Source organism: Homo sapiens, chromosome X (genome assembly GCF_000001405.40).
Source record: "Homo sapiens chromosome X, GRCh38.p14 Primary Assembly".
NCBI lineage: Eukaryota > Metazoa > Chordata > Mammalia > Primates > Hominidae > Homo > Homo sapiens.
The window spans coordinates 123,698,682-123,716,337 of NC_000023.11; the positions used below are offsets into that span (position 1 = coordinate 123,698,682).

At 37.6% G+C, this 17,656-nt stretch overlaps 1 protein-coding gene across 17 annotated transcripts in view; it reads right to left on the bottom strand.

Annotated features, from left to right (window-relative positions):
- The window catches only part of THOC2 (THO complex subunit 2), a 132,484-nt gene that overhangs the window by 98,113 nt on the left and 16,715 nt on the right, over nucleotides 1-17,656 (bottom strand). For all 17 annotated transcript variants that reach the window (XR_007068195.1, NM_001081550.2, NM_001441236.1 and 14 more), the window contains exons 2-4: nucleotides 14,169-14,227; nucleotides 8,177-8,268; nucleotides 4,773-4,824 (exon numbers count right to left, since the gene is read on the bottom strand). Coding sequence is in view for 16 of the 17 variants with exons in the window: in NM_001081550.2 (NP_001075019.1) it covers nucleotides 4,773-4,824; nucleotides 8,177-8,268; nucleotides 14,169-14,227 (203 nt within the window). In the remaining variant the exon portion in view is untranslated. The remainder of the gene's footprint in view (nucleotides 1-4,772; nucleotides 4,825-8,176; nucleotides 8,269-14,168; nucleotides 14,228-17,656) is intronic.

Genomic DNA, 17,656 nt, shown 5'->3' on the forward strand with positions numbered 1-17,656 from the left:
CTGGGCAACATGATGAAACCCCGTCTCTACTAAAAATACAAAAATCAGCTGGGCTCAGTGGCACACATCTGTAAGTACAGCTACTAGGGAGGCTGAGGCAGGAGAATCACTTGAACCTGGGAGGCAGAAGTTGCAGTGAGCCGAGATCACGCCACTGCACTCCAGCCTGGGTGACAGAGTAAGACTCTGTCTCAAAAAAAAAAAAAATTAACATCTTATCTTGAATTATAATTCTAGTCAGTAAATAGAAATTATTCAAAATTTTTATCTTCCTACTGAAATATTTAAAAACTGAGAGTTTCAGTAAATTATTCAGAAAATTTGTCAAAAAATTTTCTGATCTGAAGTGTGGAAGAAAAAAAACAATTAGTGCCAAATGCCAAGCACCAAAAATTTCAACCAGCATTGGCAGGATTACAAACAAGGCTGATCTCAGGATTACTGCTTTAACTGATTATATACTATTAACCTAATTTTACAGTCAACTCATAATTTAGAATATGCTATAAAGAGAAGCACTGGTTTTAGTGAAGTAATAAAAATTGTCATCTACATGTTCTACTGCCAACACTAAGAATCAAAAGAGAAAGGGATTTTTCATCAAACATATCCACATTTTCCTGGCCCTTGACTTTCCCTTCTTGGACAGTTGCCATTTCTACATATCCTGGCCACTGTAGCTAAGCACACAGTTAGCTCATGTGTATTAAGGAAATTTTAGGGTATAATTTATGCAATGTAAATTACAATACAATCTCAATTTCTCATTAAGACTTTTAACCCATGTGTATCTCACCAATCCTTTTCAGGGACTCCCAATTGTTGCCCTGCTATCTGGTTTTCTGGTCCCTCCTCAGTCTAGAACTTTAAAGATACTGATTTTAAGGGATTGGGGCTAAACTGGGCCCATTCTTTTACCCAACATGTATCTATGCTCCAGGGCCCTAAAGTCCCTAAGATCTACCTCTCAAGGTCCCTAAGAACAGGGGCACTGGATGGCAGATTCATCCTCTTCAAGTCAAGTCTCTCCTCTCAGCCACTTAACCTGATTAAGACACTTACTCTCTGAGGGTTTGTGAACCTGGAATGAATTATTTTAGCTCATTAATCTTAATTCTTAGAATTGGATAAATTACTTAAATGTCTAACCATTCTCTTGGGTTCTGACAATGTTAGGAAACGCTTAAAAGAGTCTCAGTAAATTTCTTAGCTGAGCTATCTCAACAATCAGTACAGGACTCTATTATCCCAACTGTACCTTCCCTGGTTTCTTTATTCTTTTTGCTCTAACTCATAACACCATTCTAATAAACTCATTTATTATCCCTGACTCCTTTACCTCGAATAAATTCTCTTTAATTTCCCCTATGATTTCAATAAAAAGCCCTCAGCTATTTCCAGCTCTAGTGCCCAGCATCACCAATTACCTACCCCAGCCCAGAGGCCCCATCAGCATATCAACTTACAGCAGACTCCCCCTTTCTATAGCTCTCATGCCCCCTCACCTTCATACTATTAGTCTGTTAAAGTTGCTATCAGCCGGGCGTGGTAGCTCAAGCCTGTAATCCCAGCACTTTGGGAGGCCAAGGCAGGCGGATCACCTGAGGTTAGGAGTTTGAGACCAGCCTGGCCAACAGGGCGAAACCCTATCTCTATTAAAAATACAAAAATTAGCTAGGCGTGCTGGCACATGCCTGTAATCCCAGCTACTCAGGAGGCTGAGGCAGGAGAATCACTTGAACCCACGAGGTGGAGGTTGCAGCAAGCCGAGATTGCACCACTGCACTCCAGCCTGGGCAACAAGACTGAAACTCCATTCTCGGGGCGGGGCTGGGGGCGGCGGGGGGGAGGTGGTGAGGGGGTGGGGGGGGGTGGGGGGGTGGGGAGGAAGTTGCTATCTTAACCCGGAAAGTGCAGCACTAATTTCCCTTGTAACTGTCAACATTTAGAATGACAATATGATGTAATAAAAAGATCATAGGCTGTGGAGCCAAAGGGACCCAGGTTCAAATTCTGCCTTACTGGCTTGCATGGCCTTGAAAAATCACAGCTTCGCTGAACCTCATTTTTCTGATCTGTACTCCTACCACCTTTACAGGAGTTGATGTAAGGATTAAAACAAAGATTAAATGCTTAACACAATGCCTAGAACATGGAAGGTACTCTAAAAGCAGAACTTAAATTGTTATCATTATTATTGTCATCATCATCATCATTATTATTAGAGGTAGCTAGCATTCTTACTCCTATTCCCCATCCTTGATCTGGGATCACACTTGAATCATTTTTTTTCTGCCAAGGGTGAGGGTAGGTGAGTGAGGGAGCAGGTGAGGGAAATCCTCTTTCCAAGTTTGCCGTCATAATCTTGCTTATAAAAATGGACTGGATAGGCCGGGCACGGTAGCTCACGCCTATAATCCCAGCACTGTGGGAGGCCAAGGTGGACAGATCACTTGAGGTCAGGAGTTTGAGACCTACCTGGCCAACATGGTGAAACCCCATCTCTACTAAAAATACAAAAAAAATTAGCCAGGCGTGGTGGCACGCGCCTGTAATCCCAGCTACTCAGGAGGCTGAGACAGGAGAATCACTAGAACCCAGGAAGCAGAGGTTGCAGTGAGCCAAGATCGTGCCACTGCACTCAGTCTGGGCAACAGAGCAAGATGCCATCTCAAACAAAAAATGGACTGGATAGGCTAAGAGAAATTTCCCAAAAGCAACCAAGCATCATCTTCATGAATTCATGTTACTCGTACAAGACAATGACTTGTAACAATAATTCATATTACTAAATAACTATGAAGGGAAAAATATAATCTAGTAAGTCAATAAAGAAATTACTAGGGCCAATAAGCTGATAATTGATGATTACCCAAAGAAAGATATACTCCTGACACTATCAAGGAACAATAGCTTCCACAAAATGTTACCTACACATCAGTCTTACAGTCTTACAAATTTATAGTAAAAATATTTTTAACTGAAATTTGTTTCATGATGTATTTATTTGCAAAAAAAAAAAAAGGTAATATCTTTAGTGCCTCACTAAAAATTTTAGCTTAAAACATTTTTTGGTTGGCTTACATCAATCCAACAGATACCATGAACATATACTCTATCATCCAAACCAGGATAGTTATGAGAATAAAAGAGGGTACTATTAATAATTAGCCAGTGAAAACAAAACAAAACTGGGACATGTGGTCATCTCATCAATGGTCTTCTCTTTTCATTTATCACTCCCAGTCCACATACATTTTGACCTACTCCCAACATTACCGGGAACTTAGGAAATCTGAAACTTCCTGAAGGATCAAGCACCAGGATTTATATTTGTCAAGAACAAATTCTAAATTCTCAGTAAGATATTTAAGTAATTTATCTAATTCTAAGAATTAAGATTAATGAGCTAAAACAATTCATTCCAGGTTCACAAACCTGCAGAGGATGTCTTATTTTAAAGTGAATATTGGCCGGGTGCGGTGGCTCACACCTATAATCCCAGCATTTTGGAAGGCCAAGGTGGGAGCATCACTTGAAGCCAGGCATTCAAGACCAGCCTGGGCAACATAGCGAGACTCTGCCTCTAAAAACTAACTAAATAAATAAAATGAATATAATAATGTTTGGCAATGTCTTCTATTAGATTCAAAGTTACAGAAAGCACAAGACTGGGCCTAGTGCAGTGGCTCATGCCTATAATCCCAGCACTTTAGAAGTCTCAGGTGGGCAGATCGTTTGAGCCCAGGAGTTCCAGACAAGCCTGGACAACATGGTGAAACCCCATCTCTACCAATATATATATACAGATATATATAAAATACATATATACATATATATAATATATATTACATACATACATATATAACATATATACATATATATTATACACATATATATTATATATATCTGTATATATAATATATATGTGTATATACATATATTTTATATGTATATATATATTTTAGCAGGGCATGGCGGTGAGATAGGAGGATCACTTGAGCCCACGAGGTTGAGGCTGCAGTGAGCCAAGATCACACCACTGCAGTCCAGCCTGGTCGAAAGAGTAAGACCATGTCTCAAAAAAGAGAAGAAAAGAAAAGAAAGCACAGGACTGACTGAAGGGAAAACTGTGCTCAGTTATTTTCATCTAGATCTAAAATTAGAGAAAAAAATTATAATAAACATTATTGTTTAAATCCATGCCATCGGATACTACATTTCATTCTAAGTCACAGAAATACTCCTTTTTTTATCTTGCATGAACCCTTATTTATTCTGGAAAAATAAAGAAGTTGCTATTCCCAAAGCTGGTTTCTCATCCTCAAAACAAAAGTACTTTTGATTACTTTGGCTCTTCTTGCTCTTTCTAAAATTAAGAATCAAAAGAGTACAAGAGCAAAGTAAGTATTTCTTGAGAGTCCTAAGTCTGAGATTCTGACATCATTCATTGAAAACCTGCATTGAATAAGATTATTTGGTTACCAAAATCTCAGAAAACTTGGCCTTTTAACTTGAAATGACTTAATTTAGCTCAAATTTATAGAAATCTACATTGTCAAAAACTCAAACAATTTGAATTATACCTCTAAAGTTTGTTTATAACATTGATTATGACATTTGACTTATATTGCTATATTCTCTACAAAGAATCAATTTGCTTCTAGACTTGCAGAAACATTTGTAAAATTCTTAGTTTAAAACATTTTATTTAACAAACATTTGATTTACCACACAGCACATTACAGGTGAAATAAAGGCTTAATACCTACCTAATATGCAGAATACATCAGCAAGAATGGAGGGCATATCCTCACGAAATTCCTAATTTTAAAAATATAATTACAATAAATAGCAAAAAAGCACACAGCAAGTATTAGGGTTTCATAATAACACTCTTCTGTGAAACTTAAAAACAAAAAATGGCTGGGAGCAGTGGCTCACACCTGTAATCCCAGCACTTTGGGAGGCCGAGGAGGGCAGATGACTTGAGCCCAAAAGTTTGGGACCAGCCTGGACCATGTGGTGAAACCCCATCTCTACCAAAAAAAAAAAAAAAAAAAAAAAAAAATTAGCCAGGCGTGATGGTGTACTAGCTACTCAGGAGGCTGAGGTGGGAGGATCATTTGAGCCCGGGAGGTGGAAGCTGCAGTGAGCCAAGATCGCACCACTGCACTCCACCCTGGGCAACAGAGGAAACTCTGTCTTTAAAAAAAAAAAAAAAAAAAAAAATTGATTTCCAGGTGGTGCTGAAAAAAGATTTTTAAAAAACAAAAACCCCATCATTATATTGACAAATATTAAAATTCTTCAAGTAAACTTTCATAACAAAGAGGAAGAAGATAATGTTTGCAAAAAATGTTTAAATGTCTACCATAAAATAACTTGATAAAAAAACAGAAACCTAAACAAGCACTTTAGGAAATAAAGAGCACAAATGAGTAACATTTTTCCAAAGAAGTTTCGTTTTAGAAATCACGTGAATTTAGAGTGCCTCATACTTACCTAAAGGAAGACTGTTAAAAACTGTACATTTTTCATCCAAGACTTTAAATGTTGTGCTCATGCCTGAGTCAATATTTGATTTATGCAAAAATCATAATGGTATCAGAAAAACAGAAATCTTGAAAATACAAAACCAGCTAAAAAGCTAAAAGCTGGTTTGGGCAGTTTTCAGTTTCAGGAGGTACATGTACAGGTTTGTTACATGAATATATTTGGTAATGCTGGGGTTTGGGTTTCTATCGAATCCATCATCCAAATAGTGAACACAGTACTCAATAGGTAGTTTTTCAACCCTTATTGCCCTCCTCCCTCCCCGCTTTTTTGGAGCTCAATATTCTCTTTATTTTCTTTATTTACTCTTGTAGCCTTTGGAGAAAATGACCCAAAATCGGGCCAGGCACAGTGGCTCACGCCTGTAATCCTAGCACTTTGGGAGGCCGAGGCAGGTGGATCACAAGGTCAAGAGTTCAAGACCAGCCTGGCCAACATGATGAAACCCTGTCTCTACTAAGAATATAAAAATTAGCCGGGTGTGGTGGCATGCGCCTGTAATCCCAGCTACTCGGGAGGCTGAGGCAGGAGAATTGTTTGAATCTGGGAGACAGAGGTTGTAGTGAGCCAAGATTGTGCCACTGCACTCTAGCCTGGGTAACAGAGCAAGACACTGTCTTGGAGAAAAAAGAAAAGAAAAGAAAAGAAAAGGATCCTCCTGTTTCTGAATAAAAACTTCAGCATTATTCTAGACTTGTCTCTTGACTTTCCACTCCCACGCTCAATTTTAGGGCTATTTTCCATTAGAAGGGATCATAGTTCACTTACTGCAGTTAACAGTTGGCTGGCAGTATAGCAACCCTAAAATTAGCCTATTTTCAGAAACTAAAAGAAATTCTAAAGAAAAATCTGGCAGCTGCAAGGAGACGCACAAGTTACTCTTCTGTGGGTAAGATACTGGACAGTATATAGTACTAAGAGAAAGCCATGACAAAGACAATCAAGCTGCAGAAGTATCTATAAAGACATCATTAAGTATTCAAAAGAAAGAAGAAGCTATGTAAGAACCAAACACACATATATAAAATTCACTTGAACTATCCATTTTCAATAAATGAAAAAAGAATCAGAATCAGATCCCATAAACAAACTAAAACCTATACCAATGCTCAATTTACAAAATGAAATAACCTTGTCAATCAGATTTTAGCCTCAAATTTCTTAAGGGCTCTGAACTCTGGTTATGTCTATTTAAATGCAAGTACTCAGGCCACTTGAAGATCAAAAATAGAGTAAGACAAGAGTTTTCAAAAATGAAATATTAGTTGTTTAAGAAAGATTGGTAGCAACTGAATTTTTTTAACGTTAAAAAAAAAGGAATTTGACTACTCCAACATGAACTAATTCTGTTGTTATCAGCTGGAGATAATTTAGAGACAAAAGGGAAACTCACAGAATTCCTACTGCTCAAATACACCCCAATATGGGGTGGAAAATCACAACAGCTAAACTTAGAATTTCCTTAAGACTATCCCTGGGAAAGCACAAAAAACATACAAATATTACCTCCCCTGACAGAAAAAAAGGCTACAGAAGATTAAAGAAACACAGTAAGAGAAGTTCAGATTGAGACCAAGAAGCTTCAAATCCCACACCTTAATAAAACCTATTATAAAAGCTATTCTGAATTTTATGTATATACAAGTTCATTATAAATGTATATATACACATATATACACAGACACAAGATAATTTTATTTATATACAAGTTTAAAAGCCAGCTTAATAATAAAAGAACAGCACGCCACTTGTAAAACCTCAAGCTTAACTACTGGTTTACAATTTGAAAGCCCATTTTCCAATTTAAATGGCAAACCACCATGAAAAATAGTTGGTCTGAATCTAACTTAAATTCTCCAATAAATGAAGGAGTGAAACAGAATAACCATGTAAAAGAGTTTTTTTTAATCTAGTCGATATTTTTTAAACCATAAGTAAATGAAAACTAGCACCAAGTGAATGTTAGAGCCAAACAATTGCAATTTAAAATAATTTAATCCTCAATTTTTAAAATATATTTAATTTCTAAACATAACTACAAACAAAAAATGGCTTATACTATATTGAGAGAAAAATATTTTAGCCAATTTACTTTTTTAGAGTGGCATTTTTTATTAAGGACACCTTAATTTCTTCTTTTTTTTTAATTATACTTTAAGTTCTAGGGTACATGTGCACAACGTGCAGGTTTGTTACATATGTATACAGGTGCTGTGTTGGTGTGCTGCACCCATTAACTCATCATTTACATTAGGTATATCTCCTAATGTTATCCCTCCCCCCTCCCCCACCCATGGATACCTTAATTTCATTACAGCACAGGCTTTTTTTTTTCTCCCTACCAGCTTACCTGATATTTCCTACTTTACCAACAACCAGATAAAAATATTAAACTATCTGTGTTCCTGTCTGGCAAAAATGGGTTACCAATGTCACCTTAAAACATCCATTACTCACTTCCATAGTTCTGAGGGGAAAAAAGTTAAAAAAATAAAATTTTAAAAATCCATCCACTTCTATAATTTTGAATAAAATACAAGTTATAAACTTCAGGGATCTTTGTGTCAAAGCAAAAAGATATATAACAACTATTAACTTAAAAAAATATATACATACTTACACTAATGTCACTAAGAACATTAGATGCCTGTTCATGCTTTAGATTTCCTTTAATTACATGATATGACAACTCATAGAGAGCTTGCTGGAAATCTGTTGAACATAAGAGAAATAATGTAAGGATACAGTCTCTTGAACATGAAAAGTAAATCTATATATTTCCTACGTCTCAGAATTATTATAAACATCAATAATGAAAAATATAATTCTAATGCTTTTCCTCTAGCAATTTTTTCTTTTATTTTCACAAAAACACAAAATTAAAAGGTTAGAAAAATGTTAACCATCTCTCCACTACTATAACTACAGCTTGAACATTCCTTTCCAGTTTTTTCTGTATGTCTACAGATTTTACATATTTAAATTCACCATGCACATCATATAGCATTCTGATTCCCCCCAAAACAATTTTAAAGCATTTTTTCATGCTACTCAAGTCTCTATAATTATATTCAATGAACTCTAGCAAGTGGATTCAAACCAATCATTCTCCTCACCAGTAGACTTCAGATATATACTCAATTCAATCTCAGCACTATAGTGACAACAGATAAAGAATAGCAGTACATATACTACCGAGTTTTAACCATACCCTAGTGTGAGAGAAATTTCTCCCCAAATCTAAATCTCTTTGTCCCATAAAAATCAAACAAAAAATACATGTATAAAATGGCAGTTCTATGATAACTGTCAACTACAAGTAGCAACATTCACTATTAATTACCACAGTCCCCTTTCCTGAAAAAAGATATTTTGGTTTTGGAGTGGGTAGTTAGTGGTCAGGTGAACACCTCCTTCTGGTCATCTTTTTTTTAAGTCCCATATACTGAAAACTTTACCTCCTTCCAATCATGAAAAGTAGTGAAACAAGAAGCTTTAAAGATGCTAATGTAAAATAAAGTCTATTTATAATCTCCTTTTGAGTGGAATCAAAATTTTTTCAGAACCAAACAGCAAGTTAAAAAATCAAATATTTTAAAAATCTTCTTAGCCAGGCGCAGTGGCTCACACCTAAAATCCCAACACTTTGTGGGGCCAAGACAGGAGGACGGCTTGAGCCTAGGAGTTCGAAACCAGCCTGGGCAACATAGGGAGACCTCATCTCTACTAAAAAAAAAAAAAAAAATTAGCCAGATGTGGTGGCACACACCTGTTATGCCAGGTACTCAGGAGGCTGAGGCGGGAACTTAAGCCCAGGAGATCAAAGTTGCAATGAGTTGTGATAGCACCATTGTCTCAAAAAATAAAAATAAAAATAAAAATAAACTTCTCCCCTGCTATGACTCCTAGCCACAAAAAGGAACATAATAGAAATCAAAATGTACATAAATCCCCCCTTAATGAAAATACTATTTTGCAGTAAAATTAACTTGTTCATTAAATCATTTGCTATTGCTATTTGCTATTGCTAATAATTATTCCAATTATTTATGAAGAATTCTTTATTAAATATATTCTGCCTATTTTACAACTATATCTACGTTGTGCTTTTAAATAACAATATAAAAACAAAGGAAAAAATTTCTGTATTTTGGTATCGCAGGTATAAGAGGTCAACTTTATGCTTTGTATTTCCATGAATAAAATGCTTTACAACAAACAACAAATAATACTTATTTAAAATTTTCCAGACAATTAAGGTGGTTTTTTTGGCTTTTTTTTTTTAAAGCAGTAACTTAGAAGAACAAAATAGCCAATTATCAAAAACTAAGGTCCCATGAGAATATGTCCTCTGGTACTCATAGGGGACCAGGGAAGTCTAATCTTAACCACAGAAGGAGATTAAAATAGAGAACAAGTGACCTGGGTCATTTTGCTGAAACTAAAGTGACATAAGAACAATCACATTGTAATCCACACAGCAGCAACGAATAGTCCCTAAATCACAAGTTTTCTTATTTTTTTTTTCTTTTGAAACAGAGTCTCGCCCTCCAGGCTGGGGTACAGTGGCGCAATCTTGGCTCACTGCAACCTCTGCCTCCTGGGTTCAAGCGCTTCTCCAGCCTCAGTCTCCCAGGTGACTGCAATTACAGGTGTCCGCCACCACGCCCAGCTAATTTTTATATTTTTGGTAGAGACAGGGTTTCACCATGTTGACCCGGCTGGTCTTGAACTCCTGACCTCAAGTGATCCACCCGCTTTGGCCTCCCAAAGTGCTGGGATTATAGGCGTGAGCCACCAGGCCCAGCCTAATTCACGAGTTTTCTAAATGCCTATTTAAAAATGGTTAGGAACTCCTATTGTGTTTTATCCATAGAACTGTAAGTGGTGGTTTAAAACTGTCAGGCTAGTTCCACAGAAACCTATAAAATCTATATTGCAGGTGAAAAACTTTATATTTACAATGAGGAGGAAAACTTACAACCTTATAGTTATCTACAAAAAAATTCAATAAAATATTTTATCTTAATGTTAACACTTCAGAAAGAGTAGTTTTAAGAATAGCCACTAGAGGCCGGGCGCGGTGGCTCAAGCCTGTAATCCCAGCACTTTGGGAGGCTGAGGCGGGCGGATCACAAGGTAAGGAGACCGAGACCATCCTGGCTAACATGGTGAAACCCCGTCTCTACTAAAAATACAAAAAATTAGCCGGGCGTGGTGGCGGGCGCCTGTAGTCCCGGCTACTCAGGAGGTTGAGGCAGGAGAATGGCATGAACCCAGGAGGCGGAGCTTGCAGTGAGCCAAGATGGCGCCACTGCACTCCAGCCTGGGCGATAGAGCGGGAGACTCTGTCTCAAAAAAAAGGCCCCGAGAAGGTACTTCTAGAGATTCTTAGTTTTTGCGGGGTTTGAATGTTGAAGACACCAGTTCTTGGTTATGTCTAATATTGCTAGTACTACTCATGTTTGTTTTTTTAAACAATAATGTACTGTTTATTTTCAAATAGCTAGAAGGAATTTTTAATTTTCCCAACACAAAGAAATGATAAATGTTTGAGGTGATACACTAACTACACTAATTTGATCATTACACATTATATACACGTATCAAAATATCACACTGTACCCCAATTACTCATGTTTATTAGCCATCATTACAATGTTGTTTCATTGGCAGTGGCTGGGGTGGGGGGGAAGGTGATTTATAAAAGAAACAAGGAGAAGCAGTGTGTGCAAGGGAAACTGCCTGCCTGAAATGAAATTAATTCAAGGGAAGGGCAGAAAGAGAAAGGTCAGAGGGGACACTGCCCGAACTCAAACCCCTAAGACAGAAAAGAGATTCTGAAGAAATGACATTCAGTCAGTTTCCTGCTAGGACAACAAACTGGAGCCCCTCAAACCAACGCCTGCCTGTTGACAGAGATCAGCCAAGGAGTATATGTGTTAAGGAAGCAGGCAAGGGTAAGAGAAGGAGAGCAATGGCAATTCAGCCAATAAGGCCACACTCATAACTATTTCTGGTTTCACATGTGAATCAGAACCATGCAAATAAACAATAATCTAATAGTTATTAAAGATCCAGAGTCACATGGTTACACTATTTACACTATCATTTATTGAAAATTCTTCTATTTTATCCACCTAATGTTTCTATCAAACAAGATCAAAGTTAACTGAGATGTTAAAAACTGATTTTAAACCCGGGGAAGAAAAAAGATAAAGTACCCAAGTATTTTTAGAAAGGAGTCTTTTTGTACATTCTTATACTTCTGACAGTCAACTAACTTAAACAAGAATACATTACTGTCTATCAACCTCAAAAATCTTTTGAGTGATCATGCAATTTTATAAGCAGGATAAACAAGAAAATAATTTGGGGGGTGGCAGGCTAGGAATGTTAACTCTTAAAACAGGTCTTACCCATATGACAGGGTGAAAAATGGCTTTTTCATTTGTTAAAAAAACATTTTCGGTCGGGCACGGTGGCTCACGCCTGTAATCCCAGCTCTTTGGGAGGCTAAGGTGTGCGAATCGCCTGAGGTCAGGAGTTCGATATCAGCCTGGCCAACATGGTGAAACCCCGTCTCTACTAAAAATACAAAAGTTCGCCGGGCGTGGTGGCGGGCGCCTGTAATCCTAGCTACTCGGGAGGCTGAGGCAGGAGAATCGCTTGAACCTGGGAGACAGAGGTTGCTGTGAGCCAAGATCGCGCCATTGCACTCCAGCCTGGGTGACAGAGCGAGATTCCATCTCAAAAAAAAAAAACCATCTTCCACTCACACACCCAAATGTTCTTTTTATGAAACAAGGTTCACTCTGTCACCCAGGCTGGAGTGCAGTGGTGTGATCTTGGCTCACTACAGCCTCTGCCTCCCGGGTTCAAGCGATTCTCGTACCTCAGCCTCCTGAGTAGCTGGGATTATAGGCACACGCCACCACACGCAGCTAATTTTTTTTTGTTTTTGTTTTTTTTTTGGTAGAGATGGAGTTTCACCATATTAGCCAGGCTGGTCTCGAACTCCAGACCTCAAGTGATCCACCCACCTCAGCCTCCGAAAGTGCTAGGATTACAGGCGTGAGCCACCGCACCTGGCCCAAATGTTCTTTAAAAAGTATATCCTCAGCTATGCAAGGTGGCTCATGACAGTAATCCCAACAATTTGGGAGCCTGAGGCGAAAGGACTGCTTGAGGTCAAGAATATGAGACCAGCCTAGGCAATATAGCAAGACACCTCATCTCTACAAAAAATAAATTAAAAAAATAAGGCTGGGCACAGTGGCTCACACCTGTAATACCAGCACTTTGGGAGGCCAAGGCAGGCAGATCACCTGAGGTCAGGAGTTCAAGACCAGCCTGACCAACATGGTGAAACCCCGTCTCTACTAAAAATACAAAATTAGCCAGGCATGGTGTCACATGCCTGTAATCCCAGCTACTTGGGAAGCTGAGGCAGGAGAATCGTTTGAACCCGGGAGGCAGAGGTTACAGTGAGCTGAGATTGCACCAATGCACTCCAGCCTGGGCAACAAGAGTGAAACTCCATCTCAAATAAATAAATAAATAAATAAGCAAGGAGCAGTGTTGCACACTTGCAGTCCCAGCTACTTGGGAATCTGAAGTGGCAGGATTGCTTGAGCCCAGGAGTTTGAAGCCGCAGTGAGCTATGATTACACCACCACTGCATTACAGCCTGGGCAATGGAAAGAGACCCTGTCTACTTTAAAAAAAAAAAAAAAAAAAAAAAAGTATATCCTCTATTATGAAAGTCATGATTTTTGGTAGAACAAAAATAAATATATATATATGTAAAATTGTTCTTAATCTTCTTTTCACAAAAGCATAATTTAAATGACCATAATAAATTTTATCTAATGATTTTTGGCTTCAAATAGAATATCGGTTATAAAAATGTATTTTCTAATTTAAAAAAATAATGTGGGTTTTACCCCCAACAATACTACTGTAAATGCTTTACACTTACTAGACACAATCACTTTTAGCTTTGCCCCTCCTTTGCCAAATCCACATGTCTAATTTTAAATTAACAAAATGTTAAATAGTAAAATCCTTTGAAACTAAAGTTACTGGAAAATTATAATACATACTGCTTAATTACATATTTCATTTAATAAATCATATCTGTGATATGCAGTAAACAACTCCTTTGAATGTTTCCCATGACAACTGCCTTTAACAAGATCCCTAGACACCACCTAAACATAACCAGCTTTAGTAAAAACACTGAACCTCAGTTTCTGGAAATTTTCTAGTGCAAATAAGATCAGAACAATTTTTCTTTCCATGTTATCTTTTCTGTCATATTTATGATTGATACAGCTAACAACTGCTGAAATTTAGCTAAATATACCAAGCCCCAATTACAAAAGTCAAGCAATATCATATCATTATAATGCAGGTCAAATAACATCAGTATACAGAGATATAGTCTTACTGTAACTGCAGTTTTAATCCTGACTATAATATAACCATGTAAAACCTTTATATAATGTGAACTATCTTACACCTTTTGTTTTCATACCTAACAATGAATAGAAAGCAGACAGTTACTAATTTTAATCAAGAAATAACTAAGATACTTTTAAAAATCTTACCTCTGTATGTTGAACTATCATGGCTTTTATTTTCACTGAGGATCCGACATAAATGCAAACTAGAATAAAATAGAAAACATGTATTTCAATTTCCACCCTAACATGAGATGATTCTTATAAAGCAAATTATATCAACTGGCAAGTAAAAAAAAATTTAATCAAGCATTTATTCTGCCTTTCATATACAAACTGTACCACTGGTAACTCATAGAAGATTAAAAATACCTCTGTAGTAATAAAGAAGGAATTATGAAATTAGAATATCACCATTTAAGACCCCTAATTAATAAAAGAATCTAGGCATCTACCAATGGCTGCTCATATTACTAAAAGAGACTATGGGCTGGGCGCAGTGGCTCACGCCTGTAATCCTAGCACTTTGGAAGGCCAAGGCGGGAGGATTGCCTGAGCTCAGGAGTTCGAGACCAGCTTGGGCAACACAATGAAACCCCGTCTTTACTAAAATACAAAAGAAATTAGTCAGGCGTGGCGGCATGCACGTGTAGTCCCAGCTACTAGGGAGGCTGAGGCAAGAGAATTGCTTGAACCCAGGAGGCAGAGGTTGCAGTGAGCCAAGATCGCGCCACTGCACTGCAGCCTGGCAACAGAGCAAGACTCTGTCTCTACAAAAAAAAAAAAAAAGTAAAGAAAAGAAAAGAAAAAAAGACTATGACACATTATGTGCCTCCAGATTCTGATGAAAGAAAACACCATGTAGGCTGGGCATGGTGGCTTACGCCTGTAATCCCAGCACTTTGGGAGGCCAAGACAGGCAGATAGCTTGAGCCCAGAGGTCAAGACCAGCCTGGGAAACGTGGTGAAACCCTGTCTCAACAAAAAATACAAAAATTAGCCTGGCATGGTGGCTCATGCTTGCACTCCCAGCTACTCGGGAGGCTGGGGTGAAAAAATCAAATCATCTGAGCCCAGGAAATTGGGGCTGCAGTGAACCATGACTGCTCGCTCCACTGTACTCCAGCCTGGGAGACAGGAAAAAAAAAAAAAGGAAAAAAGAAAAGAAAGCATCACCTACCTATGAAGTTGTCTTTAGGGGGAAAAAAAGTGTGAATCAAAATCTGATCAAGCCATCTAGATCCAACTACCAATTTACAGAAAAAGACAACAGAGGAATATATTAAGAGATACCATAGGGATACAATCACCAAAATCCAAACTGTGGGAAAATCTAACAGAGAGTGACCCAATCTCTTAAACAAACAAATTGCAAGGAAAAATGTAATAAAATATAAAGGAAGAGTGCAAGAGAGGAAAAGAGGAACAGAAGAGCTACAACACAGAAAAACAATTAACAAAATGGCAATAGTAAGTCCTTTCCTGTCAGTAATTACCTTAAATGTAACATCTAACTCCATGTTCAAAAGACAAAGTATCTAAATTGATCTTTTTTAAGATGAGCTATTTTTTTAAAAAGCTGTATGCTGTCTACAAGAAACGTGTTTTAAATTTAAGGACACAGATAGGCTGAAAGTGAAAGGATGGATAAAGATACTCCATTCAAATGTTAGCCAAGAGAGAACAGGGGTGGCTATGCTTATATTAGACAAAATATACTTTGAAAATATAACAATTATAAATATATACACATACCACATCAGAGGACAACAGCATATGAATATATGTGACACAGAGCTGAAGAAACAAATAGACACCAACACAGTAATAGTAGGGAATTTCATACACTACTTTCCATAGAATACCCAGACAAAAGATCAGTAAGGAAACAGAAGACTTGAATAATACTACAGACCAAATGGATTTAATGGACATATCCATAACATGCCACCCAAGATAAGGAGACTACATTCTTCTCAAGCACACACAAACCTTTTTCCAGGCTCTAACATGTGATCTAACATTCTGATCACATTAGATCACAAACAAATAACAAATTTTAAAAGATAGAAATCATACCAAGTATCTTTTCCAAACACAATGGAATAAAACTAGATATCAATACCAGAAAGAAAACTGGAAAGTTCACAATTATGTAGAAATTAAACACATTCTTGAACAACCAAAGAATCAAAGAATGAAATCAAAAAGGAAATTAGGAAATACCTTCAGACAAATGAAAATGAAAACATAAATACCAAAATTCATGAGATATACCAAAAGCGGTTCAAAAGAGGAAATTTGTAGCAATAAAGGCTTTTTTTTTTTTTTTTTTGACACAGTATCTCATTCTATCACCCAGGCTGGACTGTAATGGCAAAATCTTGGCTCACTGCAGCCTCGACCTGAGCTCAAGTGATCCTCCCACCTCAGCCTCAGCACCACCACCCCCCCAACATCCCATTAGGTGGGACCACAGGTGCATGCCACCATGCCCAGCTAATTTTGTATATTTTGAAGAGATGGGGTTTCACCATGTTACCCAGGCTGGTTTGGAACTCCTGGGCTCAAGCAATCTGCCCACCTCAGCCCAACAAAGTTCTGGGAATACAGGTGTGAGCCACGGAGCCAGGCCTATAAATGCCTTTTTCTTTTTTAATCTCAAACCACCTAACTCAAAACTTCAAGGAACTAGAAAAAGAAGAATAAACTAAGTCCAAAGTTAATAGAAGGAAGGAAATAATAAAGATTAGGGCAGAAACAACTGAAATAGAGAATTAAAGAAGAAAAAAAAATCAGCCAGGTGCGGTGGCTCACGCTTGTAATCCTAGCACTTTGAGAGGCTGAGGCGGGCAGATAGCTTGAGCTCAGGAGTTCAAGATCAGCCTGGGCAACATGGTGAAACCCTCTCTCTACAAAAAAAATACAAAAACTTAGCTAGGCATGGTGGCCCACGCCTGTAGTCCCAGCTACTTGGGGGGCTGAGGCGGGAGGATCACTTGAGCCCAGGATGTTGAGGCTGCAGTGAGCCAAGATAGCACCACTGCACTCCAGCCTGGGTGACAAAGTGAGACCTTGTCTCAAAAAAAAAAAAAAAAGAAAATGAAAATGAAAAAAATCAATAAAATTAAGAGTTTTTTTTAAAAAAAGATCAACAAAACTGACAAATCTTTAGCTAGACATTCAATAAAGAAAAAGAAAATTCAAACAATATTAGAAACAAAAGAGAAAACATTACAACCAATTACACAGAAACAAAAAGGAATATAAGAGGCTACTACACCATGATACCAGAGCCAGACAAAAACATTACAAGAAAAGAAAATCACAGGTCAATGCCTCTTATAAACACAGATGAAAAAATCCTCAACAAACACCAGCAAACAGAATTTAACAGCACATTAAAAGGATCATTCACCATGATCACAATGGATTTATCCCTGGGATGCAAGGATGGTACAACATACACTAAATGTGACACATTACACTAACAAAATGAAGGATAAAAATCACTTGATCATCTCATTAGATGCCGAAAAAGCATTTGACAAAATTCAATATCCTTATGATAAAACTCTCAACAATTAACTATAGAGGCTGAGCGCAGTGGCTCACGCCTGTAATCCCAGCACTTT